Raw genomic sequence first — 14,263 nt, forward strand, 5'->3', positions numbered from 1 at the left:
TCCTGCCTCAGCCTCCAGAGTAGCTGGGATTACAGGCATGAGCCACCATGCCTGGCTAATTTTTTGTATCTTTAGTAGAGATGGGGTTTCATCGTGTTGGCCAGGCTGGTCTTGAATTCCTGAACTCAGGTGATCTGCCTGGCTCAGCCTCCCAAGGTGCTGGGATTACAGGCGTGAGCCACAGTGCCCTGCCATTAATGTAGTATTAATGTTAATATTATGAATATATGTTTATCAACAAAGCAGAGTTGTACTATGCATTGAAACTGTTGCAAAAATTCTTTATAAAACGATCCATTTTTAAAGCCACTGTTATTTTCATATTGTTTATTGCTAAAAACTTTGCTAACAACCTTACTAACAACTTTAGTTCCTTGAAATAAATTATGGCTAGATCTTTCTTTTAATTTTTCATTTAAATCAGCATGATGTTGATTGAATTAGTTTTGAGATTGTATATCCATGCTGTACTTAGAAGTCATTTTTCCTTATTCTTTAAAGCCATGTTGATAGCTTGCTGAATGGATTCCAGTATAGAAAGCATATATAGCTGGTAGTATGCAAAGCAATATGGCAGTCCAAGCTAGAGTCCTCTCTGTAGGATGACTTAGAATGAATGGGATTTGCTTTCTGACTGGTTTGGCAGGGATGCAGTGGAGACATCTCAGGGTTTTGACCCTGAATCAATCCCCTTTGGGCTGAGAAGAAGATGATTTCATGGCCTGGACAGTCCAGAAGCCACTTGTACAAACACCGCACTAAATGTGCGTGGTGCATCTGGTTCTCCCTTGTCTGGGCAGGGTGTTTGTGGCCTTCCTTTGGAGGAAGCTGCCTCCCACTGCTAGGCTAAGAGAGGCAAATATGTGAAGGGGATGCAAAGGCATTCATGCTTCAGTCAGGAGGTGAGTGCTATCACAACAGTGGCGGCAGCACAAATGAAAGGTTTTCTTTCCCCATTGTGGAGGTAAAAGGACCCATGCTGGGTATATGGAGCATATGGCCCTTGTGAGTTGAAAACTCCAGGCTTCAGCTTTTACTGACTGAGCATTTCTTACCCTTCAAGATATTCCATGGCCTTCCTGGCAGCTATTCCTGACCATGCTGTGGATAGCAGTTAATAATCGGGGACTAGAATAAACTGTTCTCTCAGTGTGGTGAGAACTGGGAACCAAGCATAGATGAGAGTCTGAAAGTGGATTAGATATGATCAGAGATTTGGTGTTCTCTTATAGTCTCTTGGTTTTTTTTTTTTGCTGTTTGTTTTAGAATTGACCTACTGGCTGACCAGGTCACCAAAGTAACACTGGGACGATTACACTTCAGCGAAACCACAGCAAATAATATGAGAAAAAAGGGAAAACCAAATCCAGACCAGAGGTACTGATGTCACTGTGTGCATGGCAGTGTGGCTGGGTACTTTATCTGGCCAGGAAGTGCCCTCCTGGGGCCCCTCTGATCTTCCTGGTGCTACCAGCCAGAACACAGGGCCTCTAAGCCACTTTCCTCCCTTCTCTGACTCTCAGTTTATTAACATTTCTCCTTTACCTGTGGACATCTTTCTTCTCCCAACCCCATGCCCTGCAATGCCCACTTTCCTGCCCTGCCCTGTCTCTGCCTGGCTCGATTGCCTCCATGTTTTTCTAGAGTGACCACATGTTTATATCTCATTGCCATCCACAGATTGAGGGCTGGCTGCATTTCTCAACCAGTGTGCTGATCTCTAGTCTTGAAGTTCTGCTATGACCTTTTTGATTAAAAAAGAAAATAACTTGTTTTCATGATTTAGACCTGTGGTTTTCAAAGTGTGGTTCCGGGACTAGCAGAGATGGAAACTCATTAAAAATGCGAGTTCTCGGGCCTTACTGAAGAATCAAAAACTCTGAATCAAAAACTCTGGGGATGGGGCTTAGCAATTTGTATTTTAACAAACCCTCCAGGTGACACTGATACATACTCAAGTTTGAGAACTGCTGCTTTTAGAACATAGGTTTTGGAGTTGGATAGAATTGAATTTGACTATTTGATACTGGCATTTACTAGGCGGGTGACCTTGGGCATATAACTTAACCTCTCTGAGACTCATTTTCCTGTCCTACAAAATAGAGACAATAACAATATTCTACTCCAATGAAGTTGTTTTGGTGCTCTAAGTAGACTAATGTAGGTAAACTGCTTAGCCCGGTATATGACACACTGAGCTCTTGACAGTAACTAATAATAATAATGATAACGGTTACTACTCTTACTGATTTACTTTAGATGCAGAGGGAAACTCTTGTTCTCTAAGAGAATAGGAATGTTACAGAGGAAGCTGGTGAAGTTTTTTCATGCAGTTCTTGGGCAAAAGCTTCTTTGATGAGGATAGTTTTAATTTTGACTTTTAAGAAGTGGTCTAGTCTTAAAACTGTCTCATCAGTGGTACGTATGAAGAGGAATTGAAATAACAGTGATGAAAATTGCCTTGGAAGCAATTGAAGGGGAGGTCTCAGTCTTTGGCTAAAGTCAAGCCCAGAGGTTGTTGAAGGCACAGGATATATGGCCAAGAGCAGGCTGAACTGGGAAGGATCCAGTGTGGTGGGGCAGACCCTAGGAGTCAGTCTCCATTAAGGCCCAGGCCATGTGGCTTCTGGGGCTCTGAACAAAGGGACCTTTAAGGTGGCTTCCTGTTGTATTTGTGAGCCATGCTGTGCTGAGGGCTCAGGACTGCAGCGTAGAGAGGCCTGTGCTGAATCAGCACAGATAGGCTGACTCCAGACCCCTCCTGGGATGTCTCCGCAGGGTGGCCTGCTTTCCTGCTCTTTTGGGGCATGTAAAACAGCTCACAGATACCACCAACTGGGCAAAGAGCTGACCCATAACAATAGCAAGTGAATCAACTACTCTCTTGTTTCACTGGGGGGACAACTTAGAACAGAAGGGAAAAGGCAGTCTTTAAATAAGCAAACTCTTCTCGATAAGTTCACTATTGATCAACTGTTGGGTGGTATTTGTTTGTACAAATTGTGTCTCCATTCCTGATGCATTGGCATTGGTCTGCTGTCTCTGAATTAGATACTTCATGTTGGTGGTTGGACTGTATGCTGCTAACCAAGACCAGTTCTATCTGTTGTCTGCCCACATCTCTGAAAGGATCATTGTAAGGGTAAGCTCAGTTCTCTGACTTTTCTGGATCTCACATGCTTTCCTCCTATGTAGGCAGAATTTGAATTTTCAATGGTGTGCTTGAATATGCTATTTCGATGATAATGATAGTAATGGCAGAAACTATTATTTTAGTTTTCACACAGTGGTTCACAACCAAGGGCAATTTTGTTCTCCAAGGGTCACTTGGCAATGTCTGGAGACATTTTTGGTTGTCACAGCTGGCATCTAGTGGGTAGAGACCAGGCATTCTGCTCAGTACCTTACAATGCACAGGACAACCTCCACAACAAAACATTATACCTCCCAAAATGTCAGTGGTGTTGAGGTTGAGAGACTCTGGTTTTTACTCTATGTTCTAGGCACTGAGCTAAACAATTTATATATGACATCATTTTACATTGTTATACTTTCACATTACATTATTTATACCCAGAGCAACTGAGGCTTAAGAGACTAAGTAACTAATCCATGATCTCATGAATTGTAAATGATGGAGCCTGGATCTCTCTGACCCTAAAGCCCACAGGGTGGGGAAAGTGGTAGGAAAGCATTCCAGGCCAAATGTGATTGGTAGCACCAGGGCATCTGGGCTACTGTCTAGCACATGGGAATGGCTGGTTCAGCACATTTTGCTGAATGAATGATTGGTCACAGCTGTGCAGCGGAGTCTTGGCAGGCACAAAACATAAAGCTGTTGGTGGCTGCAGCTGCAGCTGTGTGAGTTCAGGCTGGCCACCACTGAAAATACCAGAGGCATGAAGTAACAGGTAGCCACAGGCCTGGAAGCCCTGGGAGGGGCTGTGTTGTTATGGATCTTTGAAGTGATACAGGGAGGCCATGCAAACTCCAATAGAGAACAATGTTCACTGTGGGCCTGCCCATGTATGTGGCTGTTAACCTGAGGCCCTGAGGAAGAAAAGAAGATCTGCCCATTTGGGGAAATGGCATCTCTCCTTGCCCGTGTTGAACTGTTCTGAAACAAAGGGACCTCTGTAATTCCTTTTGTCAATTAAAATTAATAAGCCTCCTATTAGTGGAAATCCTTTAACTATGTCTCAACGTTGTAATGGAGATGAAGTGATGATAGAAATGAGGTAAAACACGTATGTGTTCAGCAATCCCAGGGTTAGGGAAGGACATGCACACCCCAGGCTGCATTTTTGTGGGTTCTGACATAACATGCAGCAAATGAGGATCATCTGGGGCAGAGGCAGGTGGGGCCCTCTCCTTGCGTCATAAGCCAATACAGAGGTGCCTGTCCATCCCTCTGCAGGGGCCAGGGCCATCTTTGACATCTTATTTGATGTAATCTGGAATTGCCTTGCTGTGCTGACAAATCTGATTTAAAGTAAAGTCTGGAAACCCAGGTTGCATATTGTTTCTCTTAGGAAGGAATAGAGACAGATAATGCCATTCTTTTCAGAGTTAGCATAGCTAAGATATCATGACAGTACTCTCCGGAGCTGTATAACTTATGCTTCAGACAGATAGTCTGCTAGTCACCTGCATACTTGGAATAATTTACCTAGTGACAAGGTTTCTCCATTTGCTGCTGACAGCTCCTGCAAAGCTATACGCAGCTGCTGTACAAGTCCACACAACAGCAACATGAGAGGGAGGGAGCTCCACTCTCTAGCATTCTGTTTACCAAAAACTCTCTGTTAATTGGCACCTCCTCAAATCCAAAGCACAATGATAATGAGATCATAATGATGACTTTGAGAAGTCGAAAGTTCCATGATTCGTATTCGGTGTGAGTACCAAAAATATTAAATTTACTCAGCATAGTTTGGGTGTCATGCTATTCACTAAATTTTTATTTCAAAAAATGATTGTATTCCAGATCTGATAGTCTTCTCCCAGACACAATTTTGGTTAGAGAGAATACCCTATTCTACAAGTGTGCTGTATAACACAAAAGTTACCCTAACAGCATTGAGAAGATAAGGATTACTAACATCAACCATTCATCCCCCCACTAGAAATATCTTATTATTATTTCATTCAAACTCTGAAACACAGAAGTGAAAATGAATGCAGACTTTTTGGTTTATTTAATTGTTTAAGAAATGGCATTATTGTTTGAATTAGTGAGTTTTAGAAATGTCCACAGAATACATTTTTTGCCACCTGAGATTCTAGAGGGGCCTATACAGGTGCATACAAATGGGTTGGGCAGAGGGCAGACCAGCCAACATTCTACAAAAGAGCCAGATGTGGCCTCTTAGGCCATGGCCTGGTTCTGTTAGTTTAAGCTCCGGAATGAAGAATGGGAAGAAAAATTTGACAAAGACACTACAAGCCCTGACTACATTAAATGGAGAAATGAAAACTGCATTTAAGCAAATCCAGACTTGTTCTGTGGCCTAAGAACCACTTGTCCTAATGGCAGAGATTGGCATTTTACTATTTGGTAAGGGTGATTGTATGAGGGTTAGACCTAGATGAGTTCCAGGTCTCCAGGAAGGGTCCAGAATTCTGACCAAGCTTGTCAGAATTCTGCTTGGAGAGAGAATGGTGGGCAGGACCCAGTAATTATTCATCTGGGTTGTCAATCAAAACAGCTTTAGAAGTATATTATGGTCCTGTAGTATAAATTGACCAATTTAATGAAAATTAAGGCTTACTCCAAAGAACAGATTTATTTGCAGAGTCTTTGTTTCTGGGAGCATTTCCCAGTGGAGTTCCTTCAGTTTCCCCTTGTTAATGACTGGGCTGTTCTATCTCAGCCCCACTTTCCTTCTAAAATACTTAATTAAACCTGGTTTGGAGTGCAGTGTTGCAAGCAGGAGGGATGATTACTTTTGTCTGCCTTTCAAAGACACTCTAGGGTTTCCTCATTTTGAAAACCAATAGATTATTCCAGTTTCTTTTCCAGAAGAATAGAAATGGTCATGTCCCCAAGAATTCTTCCTCTACTGCTCTGCAAATCACAGTGCGTGACATGGGAAACCAAACCTAGGGTTAGGGAAGATGATATAATAATGCATATGTGTACACATGCAAACACACACAAACACAGACACACGCATTCCTCTTTTGGAGTTCAGATGAATGTTTGTTTACTCAAAGAAAACAGTTTATGGAGTAATGCCTGTTTTGGACTCAACAGATCTTTCTGTCAACTACAGAAGGGCAACTTACGACCAGGAGTACATGGCATAAAGAAGTAGTTCTCAAGCTTGTATTATGAATAAGAATCCCCAGAGAGCTTGTAAGAACACAGATACCTGTGTTTTTGATTCAGTAGGTCAGGGATGCCTGAGAATATGCATTTCTAACAGGCTTCCAGGAGATGCTGATATTGCTAGCCTGCAGACCATGCTTTGAGTAGCACCAGCAGAGAGTATTTCTAGGTCCTTTTTCTGTAACCCTCTCAAAAGGTGCAAAAATGGACTTCCTAAGAGCTGCCTTCCTCAGGTCAAGCTCTTCTATTAGTTCATTGGCTGCTGCTTTCGAATCCCAAACGATGGTAAAACAAATTCCAGCTTTTCACTTCTAACTCAGCATAGCCTTCAAATTGCTGCTGATGCTGTTTTCTATTCCAATAACCTGCAGGGGGCGCCATTTACATTGTATTTTTTATGAAAGGCGTCCCCCTGGAATTGTGCAACTCTGCAGGTGCGTTGCTGAGGAGAGCAGATGAAGCAATTATAGGTTAAATAGCTGCTGCTGTGCCCAGGAGAGTGTGTCGAGAATAACTTTGAGACTTTTCATCCTCATTTTTGCAAACTGTTCATGCACACATGATTTCACTTAATCCCACAATAACCCTATGAGGTGGGTAAAGGAGACATGATTCTTTATTCATCAGAGGAGGACACAGTACAGAGAAAGATTAAGTGGCTGCCCCAAGGTCACACAGCTAGTTTGTGTTATAACATAGACTAGAATGCTCGGGTCTCTTCCCTAAATAAGAGGATATGACACAAACAATAAAAATATTTTAGACATTTTAATTAATTTGTTTTGGTGTTTGATATCCATCAGCCACTATTGGGTCACATGTGAATACAAACTCATAATTCCAGAAAGAGGTAGTATATTGTGGCTTGCTTTCACACATGAAGGTTGTGGATTCCAGAGAAAGGAAATAAGTTCACAGATCTTATGAGAACATTTCCTGTTACTGATGAGGAATTCTCCCTAGGGCTATATATTTAGAATGTTGTGAATCTGTGGCCCTTTCCAAAATAATGTGAACATATTTTAGGGATTTGAGTTTTCATCTGATGAGAGCTAAGTGAGAGTATTGCAATTGTTCCAAAAAATTAAATCCACTTATATCTGCTGTTCCAGTATCAAGTTACCAACATGATAATAACTATCCCAAAGCTCATTATGAAAAAATTCATCACTGTCTTATTTTGTTTCCTTGAAGTGGCTCATTATGTTCAAAATAGAGAAAAATACATCACCATCTTATATGGCATACCTTTGGATTTAGTTGATTGGTTGCTATAAAAGGATTTGAGTCAAAGCCAATTTGCCATTCACAACCAAGGGGCTCTAGGGAACTTGCAGAAAAGCTCTTTGTTCAAGTAAATTTACACAAAATAATGTTCAAAGTTTTTACTTTATACTCTTCCCCCACTCCCCACTACCCTCCCACCCCATTACATTCTTTCACTGCTGTTTTTTTTTGTTTTTTTTAAATTTTCTTGAGACAGAGTATTGCTCTGTCCCCTAGGCTGGAGTGCAGTGGCATGATCTCAGCTCACTGCAACCCCTGCCTCCTGAGTTAAAGTGATCCTCCTGACTCAGCCTCCTGAGTAGCTGGGGCTATAGGAACATGCCACCACACATGGCTAATTTTTGTATTTTTAGTAGAGATGGGGCTTCACCATGTTGGCCAGGCTGGTCTTGAACTCCTGACCTCAGGTGATCCACACACCTCAGCCTCCCAAAGTGCTGGGATTACAGGTGTGAGCCACCACACACCTGGCCTCTTTCACTGCTTCTGTTTATCAAGTATCAATGGTTGAGTCTTCCAAGCAGCTCAGGGTTCAGACACTTGGGATTGAATTAGGAAATTGAAGACATCAAAAAGTTCTTTAAACCCAAACTAAGAAATAAACTTTGTGGTTTCTTTTAATTATTTTTAAAATTGTAACAAATGCATATGACAAAAACACTCAAACAATACCAAGAGAGTATATAGTGAAAGGTGAATCTCCCTCCTACCACTGTTTCTCCATCTCCCAGGCTCCATCCTTGAGGAAACCATTGTTATTGGTTTCCTGAGTAGTCTTCAGAGAAAATCTATGCATATTCAGGTGCTGAGCCTGCAATGTATCATATACCACCAGAAAGGTAAAAAGTCAAGTATTAGTACTGACTTTTTAGATAATCAGGATCACAACTGTTTATCTAAAGTTGTGACAGCCTGCCTCAATCATAAAAATACATCATAATTTTAAAAACAAATTAATTTTGTTGTGAGGATTTTGAGGGATTTAGAGATGCTTACTTTAAAATATTTGGGAATATATTCAGTGGCTACAGGGAAGCAGGAAGGAAGGCAGTGCAGTGGAACATTCTTTGACAAAGAATTTTATTTAAGAGTAAAATCTCCAGAACTTTGTCTAGTCCAATGGTTTCACTTGGATTTTCTTTGAAGATTGCCAGGACTACTTCTAAGCAATGCCGTGAAACAGGCAAATCATTATTTAATAATCAGAGGACTTGTAGTTCCAGCTCCAGAACTTATTAGCTTTGTGGCTTTGGGCAATTTATTTATCTTTTCAGAGTGTCAGTGTCAATAAAATGAGGACAATAGTACGTGTCTCATATAATTGCACTGTGAATTATCGCACAACAAATGTAGCTGTTATTATTCTTCCTTCAGTATCCTCTGTGTTTAGGGAATAGTTGATGTATATTAAATATATTTGTATTATCATTTGCTTGTCACTTGTGTATGAAATCATAAATATAAAAGCATTTTGAAACTATAATAGGGCTAGCTAAATGCAAGGTATTTTTATTTATCTGACTTTAGTACACCTGTAATATTTTCTGATATAATGTTCTGATTTTAAATCATGATGATGATGACTATTCCTGGAAAGATAGCCATTTTTAGTTTTCTTCTTTATCATCCACCTAGTATAACTGATCACATTCTTAATTCCAGATAGATGCAATAGAGATTGGATGTTTCAAATCAGGGTATACAGAGCTCCTGCTAGCGGGGAGGCAGAGTGGTTAGGGAAGCCTCCCTGGCTCTCCTGGGCCCCGGAATTACTTGGATATGTCAGAATGTCCCACTCAATACAGGATTCTCTTATGAAAGACTTAGATAATATTCAGTTTGCCTTTGCTCTGAACACTAATGTGATCATCTATTCCTGCTACTGTTACTTTAATTGTAATATATTTATGTATTTTTCCAGGCCTCTAACCCTGGGCAGTTTGAAAATGACAGTGATGCATTGTGGCAGCGAGGACAAGTTCCAGAATCTATTGTCTGTCACGGTCGAGTAGGAATCAACACAGATGCGCCGGACGAAGCCCTGGTTGTCTGTGGCAACATGAAAGTGATGGGGACCATCATGCATCCCTCTGACAGCCGGGCAAAGCAGAATATCCAGGAGGTGAGCACAGATTCAGGCCCTGGGCCCCTCCTCTGACACCCCAGTCAGGTTTGCTGGGTGCTCCTGGCCTCTGACACACCTTGAACCGCACATCTTTACATGTCACCCACTGGTGTGAGATGAACACACTGCTTAAAAATGATGACTGAGCTGCTGGGCATCTCTGCTGAAATTGTAAAGCAGTTCCTCCCTGAGAGAATGGATTTACCTGACAGGAGCAGTGGGCAAAGACAGCATGTCATTGGCCTCACAGGCAGCAAGTCTCAGTTATTTTCCACAGGCCATTGCCCTTCCTTCCATACTTTGTCAGCTTCCAGAGCTTGCCTTTTCCTTTCTGTCTCCCCACTCATCTTCCAAGCACTGTCTCAGTCCAGTTCCTGATCATATTTCTCTTGGATGTCTCCAGCCTCTTCCTTCTAGAGTCCCTGGCACCAACTCTACTGGCCATTATCTTCCCCAGGCATCGTCTTTCTCTAGGAACTCTTGAGAAGCTCCTCCTCCTCATCCCTTACTTGGTCAGTTCATCGCCAAGAGTTCCGGGTGAAGACCTTTTTCCTCCGTGGAGAGGCAGTTACCTAGAGGAAACCAGAAGTCAGGCCTAGATGTCAGGAGATGGCTTCTCCGCTTTGGGCTCTCCCCAGTTACGTGACCCTGGATAAAAAGCTTAATCTCCTTGAACTCAGTGTCTTCAGCTATAAGATGAAAATGGTGCCTGCCTGCCTGCCTGACACCCTTGGCTCTTTTTTATTTTTTAACCAGTTGAACTGAATCATCTTGGAAAGCTACAACTGCTATGTAGACCATAAGGATGAGGATTAAGCTTCCAATCCATCAGCCAGCTACTAACACCTCATTCCAACTTTTCTGCCATTTAATTATTTCCCATGCATTGCTTCTACCACTTCCCCATCATCTCACTCATACTACTTCTCTTGACAGCATTTGTGAAGCTGTGTTTTAAAAGTTCCTTTTCTCTCCTTTCCTTATCCCTTTTTAGCTAATAGAAGTCCTAATCTGTTCACTATTAGCCCCTCTTCCAGACTGCATTCCTTTCTCAGTGCAAATCTGCACTGGTTTTCCTAAACCAGCCAAGGAATGTCCTCCTTTGCTTAGAGGATTCCAAAGAATGGTTGTAATTGTAGACTTTTATACTGATTGTGAAGCTGCGGTTCATATTAGAAGAGCTGTGACCTACTAGCCAGATGGGAATGCAGAGCTAGAGAGTTCTTACATACATTTCCAGATGTCAGTCCTAGATATTGTGACTTTGAACTTTAGAGAGAGATCATCTGTCTGCATTTCAGGTCACACCAACTCAAATTTATCCTTGCAATTGGCTATACAATTCACTACCAAGTCTTACTAAAATGTAAATTGAATATAACAAGTGAGAAAAGTCCTGTACAACCCTTCCTGCTACCACCAGGCATAACACAGAACTTCATTTACAAAAAGTCTTCAAATATTGCTTGTTGGTTTGAAGAAAATATATTGTCTTAAAATAACAAGCTTCTGGAGAACTTCTCACATCCCTTCTAAAAAGCCTTCTCCATCTAAATGAAATGTCACTTCAATCCAGGCTCTAAATGTGAAATTTCTGTATCCCCTTCCTGCTCATGGCAGCATGATAGAATAAAGAAAATCCTGGTCCGTGGTTAGAAGTCTAAGAGTTTAGTCCTGACTCTGGCAACCACCAGCCCAGGAACTTTGGCCGAGAGGCGATCTGTGACTCTGTTTTGTTGTCTGTGAACAGGAAATGCTCATATTCATTTTACCCAGGTTAAGAGATTTTTCTAAACTCATATATGTAAGGTATTTTTTAGCCAGACAAGTCTAAGCAAAGAGAAATTATTTTCTATTTATACAAAATAAAAATTACATGTAATTTATTTATTAAATGATTTCATATTAATAGATTTGTTTTGATAAATCTGTGCACATTTTTGAGATATATATTTGTAGAAATCTTGTCTGTCCCAGTCCACTGTTTATTACAGAGATGAGGGAGATGATGGTAATGTTGATGATGCTGATGACAGATGTGTGAATTTCATCTTCACCTCTTCCTGACTTAGTTTTTGCAACTTTTAAAAAGAGAGCCTTTCTTTCATATACTCTGGGGATCTGACCCTTGGTCAATTTGATGGCATGCATAGGACTGGAAGCAATTTCTTATTCTTTAAGAGTGCATTCTAACCACAGCTGGCTTCTGAATGGATGAGCTGCTACAAAATGTAGTGGTCAAATATGTTACCTAATACTACAATTGGGGAAAATGGATATGGGCTGCTGCTTTGCCCTATGTGTTTCCTCACGCAGGAAACACAGATTTCTTTGTGGATATTAAGAACATGATTATCTACAAAGTCCTGGTGGGGGAGATCTCTGATGCTCACAGGGACACAGATCCAAGACATGGAGAAGATGACGCAGATATGACCGAAACCTCTGCAACTGAGGTCCTGGGCAGAGGAGCAGCTTAACTTGCCCAGCCATTGGCATCGTGTCTACTGATGCGACTGCAGACTGTGGAAGGACATGCAGCTCTGACGGTGGAAACTGAGCAAAACTAGGGGGGAAGGACACGCTGAACACTAAAGGCACATGAAGAACCTCAATGTCAATGCCCAAAAACATGAGGAAGTTGAGAGTTGAATACATCAGTCAAATTCTGTGGTGAAGGCTGAAAAAAGGTAGCAAGATATTAAAAAATTCAAGCCAGAAAAGGGAATCGTTAAGATGAAATGCTCAAAGGCTGTTTTGATTTTCTCCTAACCACAATACCCGTGTGCTAGTGGAAGACAAAAGTAGACATGAAAAAAGCTCAAGAAAGTCAAACATGCAAAGTCTCCCTCTGGGCCAGGAGCCAAACGCAGAAGTTCCTTTGCTCAGGGTGAGCAGGTGTCATTTAAGCTGCTCCTAGTCCAGACTGTGGCTGGGCTGTGGGCCATCACCAGATGACAGATAGCCTTCCCTGAACAGACTGAGTCCCATGGACTGGAAGGTGTTGTCTGTGATGCAATTCTTGAGCTAATGATATATTATAGAAACCTTGGGTGTGAGGCAGCATGATGCTGATGGCTATTTGCATCCATGGTCAAAACTTTCCAAAACTTCTGTGGGCAAGGTCAAAGCAGACACCCAAATTCAGTTTTCAGTTTCTTACTCAACAGGCATTGAAGAGCAAGGCACAGCAGTAAGTGCTGGCCTGGGTAGGGTTCCTGGGAGGATTCAAAGAAGGCACACCCTTTGCCTCAAGTGTTTTCCCTAGGCCAAGTGTACACATAGGGATCATGCAATACAGGCTACTGTTTATATTTAGCTTTGGGAAGACTATAAGTCCAGAAATTAGAAAAGCATTTTGTTTGAGGAACATTGTCATATAAAATGTTTAGGTCTCCAAGTAACCCTCAAAATTTTTCTTGGCTGAAAATCTGTCTAGAGGATGATAGTAGTACCAGAGAACCTAATGCTATGTCTAGCAGTATGTCTTGGGGAATCAAGGATCCAGTTTAGAAACCAGGGACCATTTCCCTCTCTGTAGCCTGGACAGCCTACATGAGGGTACTTTCTCCTCTGCTTTTCATCTGCAACAAAGGAACCAACACTGCCTCTGCTTCCTTCTTTAGCTGGGGCCCTGCAGGTGGGGCAGGAACAAAGGGGAAAATAGGGATTGGGCATAGGACTCACAGGGGCCTATGGCTGAGGAACTGGGTAGGGCCTAGGCAGTGCAAGGCCAGTCCAGGCTGGCTCCTGATTGACCCTCTCTCTTCAATTCTCTTCATGTCAGGGATTGTCTTGCCATTTTAATACCTTCGTTCTTTTATTCCTTCTTTTTTCCATCAAAAATTTTAGGTGCCTATTACATGTCAGACACTTTGCTCGGTACTGTGCAGGTCCTGAGATAAATAAGACTCAAGAATGAAACTTTTACTAAAATTTAAGCTCCAAAAGAGAAACACTCATTGAATCTCCAGTGCTTAGGAGATCATCTGGCACATAGTAGCTACTCAATAGATATTTGTTGACTGAGTGAAGGCGCTCACAGTGATAGATATATGCACAGGGCTATATGAGATTGTGACTGTTCCTTCCAAGTATGACCTGCAAGGCCCTCCCTGCTCTGGCCTTAACCATTCTAGTCCAGTAATGCCAAATTCTGCCTTTGTTCTGCAGATGTCATTCAGGGCATTTGCTGTCTCGGGCCTTGGTTCATGGTGTTCTCTGTGGCTAGCATTCCTGTCTTAGTCTCATCCTTCCCCCTCCCTTCCTATCTTACATCTTTCCCTAACGCTTTAAGTTATCAATGTATTTAACAATTATTAGCTGAGCACCTACAACATGCAAGGAATTGTATTTGAAACTGGTGATATGTTGATGAACCATGACCTTAAACATGTCCTCACTCTCACGGGGTGTATGTGATATAGGAGAAGACAAAGAATGAAGTTGACACAATTAGTTGTCTTGTAATTGTGACTCATGCTATGAAGGAGAACTGGTGCTATGAGCACATAAAGCAG

At 41.8% G+C, this 14,263-nt stretch overlaps 1 protein-coding gene across 1 annotated transcript in view, besides 3 other annotated features; it reads left to right on the plus strand.

Moving 5' to 3' along the window:
- Window positions 1–14,263, plus strand: part of MYRFL (myelin regulatory factor like) — a 133,871-nt gene that overhangs the window by 68,878 nt on the left and 50,730 nt on the right. Inside the window, exons 9-11 of the mRNA NM_182530.3 lie at window positions 1,267–1,377; window positions 3,052–3,142; window positions 9,540–9,740. Of these exons, the coding sequence (NP_872336.2) occupies window positions 1,267–1,377; window positions 3,052–3,142; window positions 9,540–9,740 (403 nt within the window). The remainder of the gene's footprint in view (window positions 1–1,266; window positions 1,378–3,051; window positions 3,143–9,539; window positions 9,741–14,263) is intronic.
- Window positions 2,046–2,616: an enhancer, noted in NCBI's record as "NANOG-H3K27ac hESC enhancer chr12:70289930-70290500 (GRCh37/hg19 assembly coordinates)". NCBI's record gives its function as "activates a minimal SCP1, AML or CMV promoter by ChIP-STARR-seq in primed H9 embryonic stem cells {active_cell/tissue: H9 hESC(primed)}" and the evidence as "EXISTENCE:reporter gene assay evidence [ECO:0000049][PMID:30033119]".
- Window positions 2,617–3,185: an enhancer, noted in NCBI's record as "NANOG-H3K27ac hESC enhancer chr12:70290501-70291069 (GRCh37/hg19 assembly coordinates)". NCBI's record gives its function as "activates a minimal SCP1, AML or CMV promoter by ChIP-STARR-seq in primed H9 embryonic stem cells {active_cell/tissue: H9 hESC(primed)}" and the evidence as "EXISTENCE:reporter gene assay evidence [ECO:0000049][PMID:30033119]".
- Window positions 12,218–12,287: an enhancer, noted in NCBI's record as "active region_6656". NCBI's record gives its function as "activates an Ori minimal core promoter by ATAC-STARR-seq in GM12878 lymphoblastoid cells {active_cell/tissue: GM12878}" and the evidence as "EXISTENCE:reporter gene assay evidence [ECO:0000049][PMID:35858748]".

This window comes from Homo sapiens, chromosome 12, assembly GCF_000001405.40.
Source record: "Homo sapiens chromosome 12, GRCh38.p14 Primary Assembly".
NCBI lineage: Eukaryota > Metazoa > Chordata > Mammalia > Primates > Hominidae > Homo > Homo sapiens.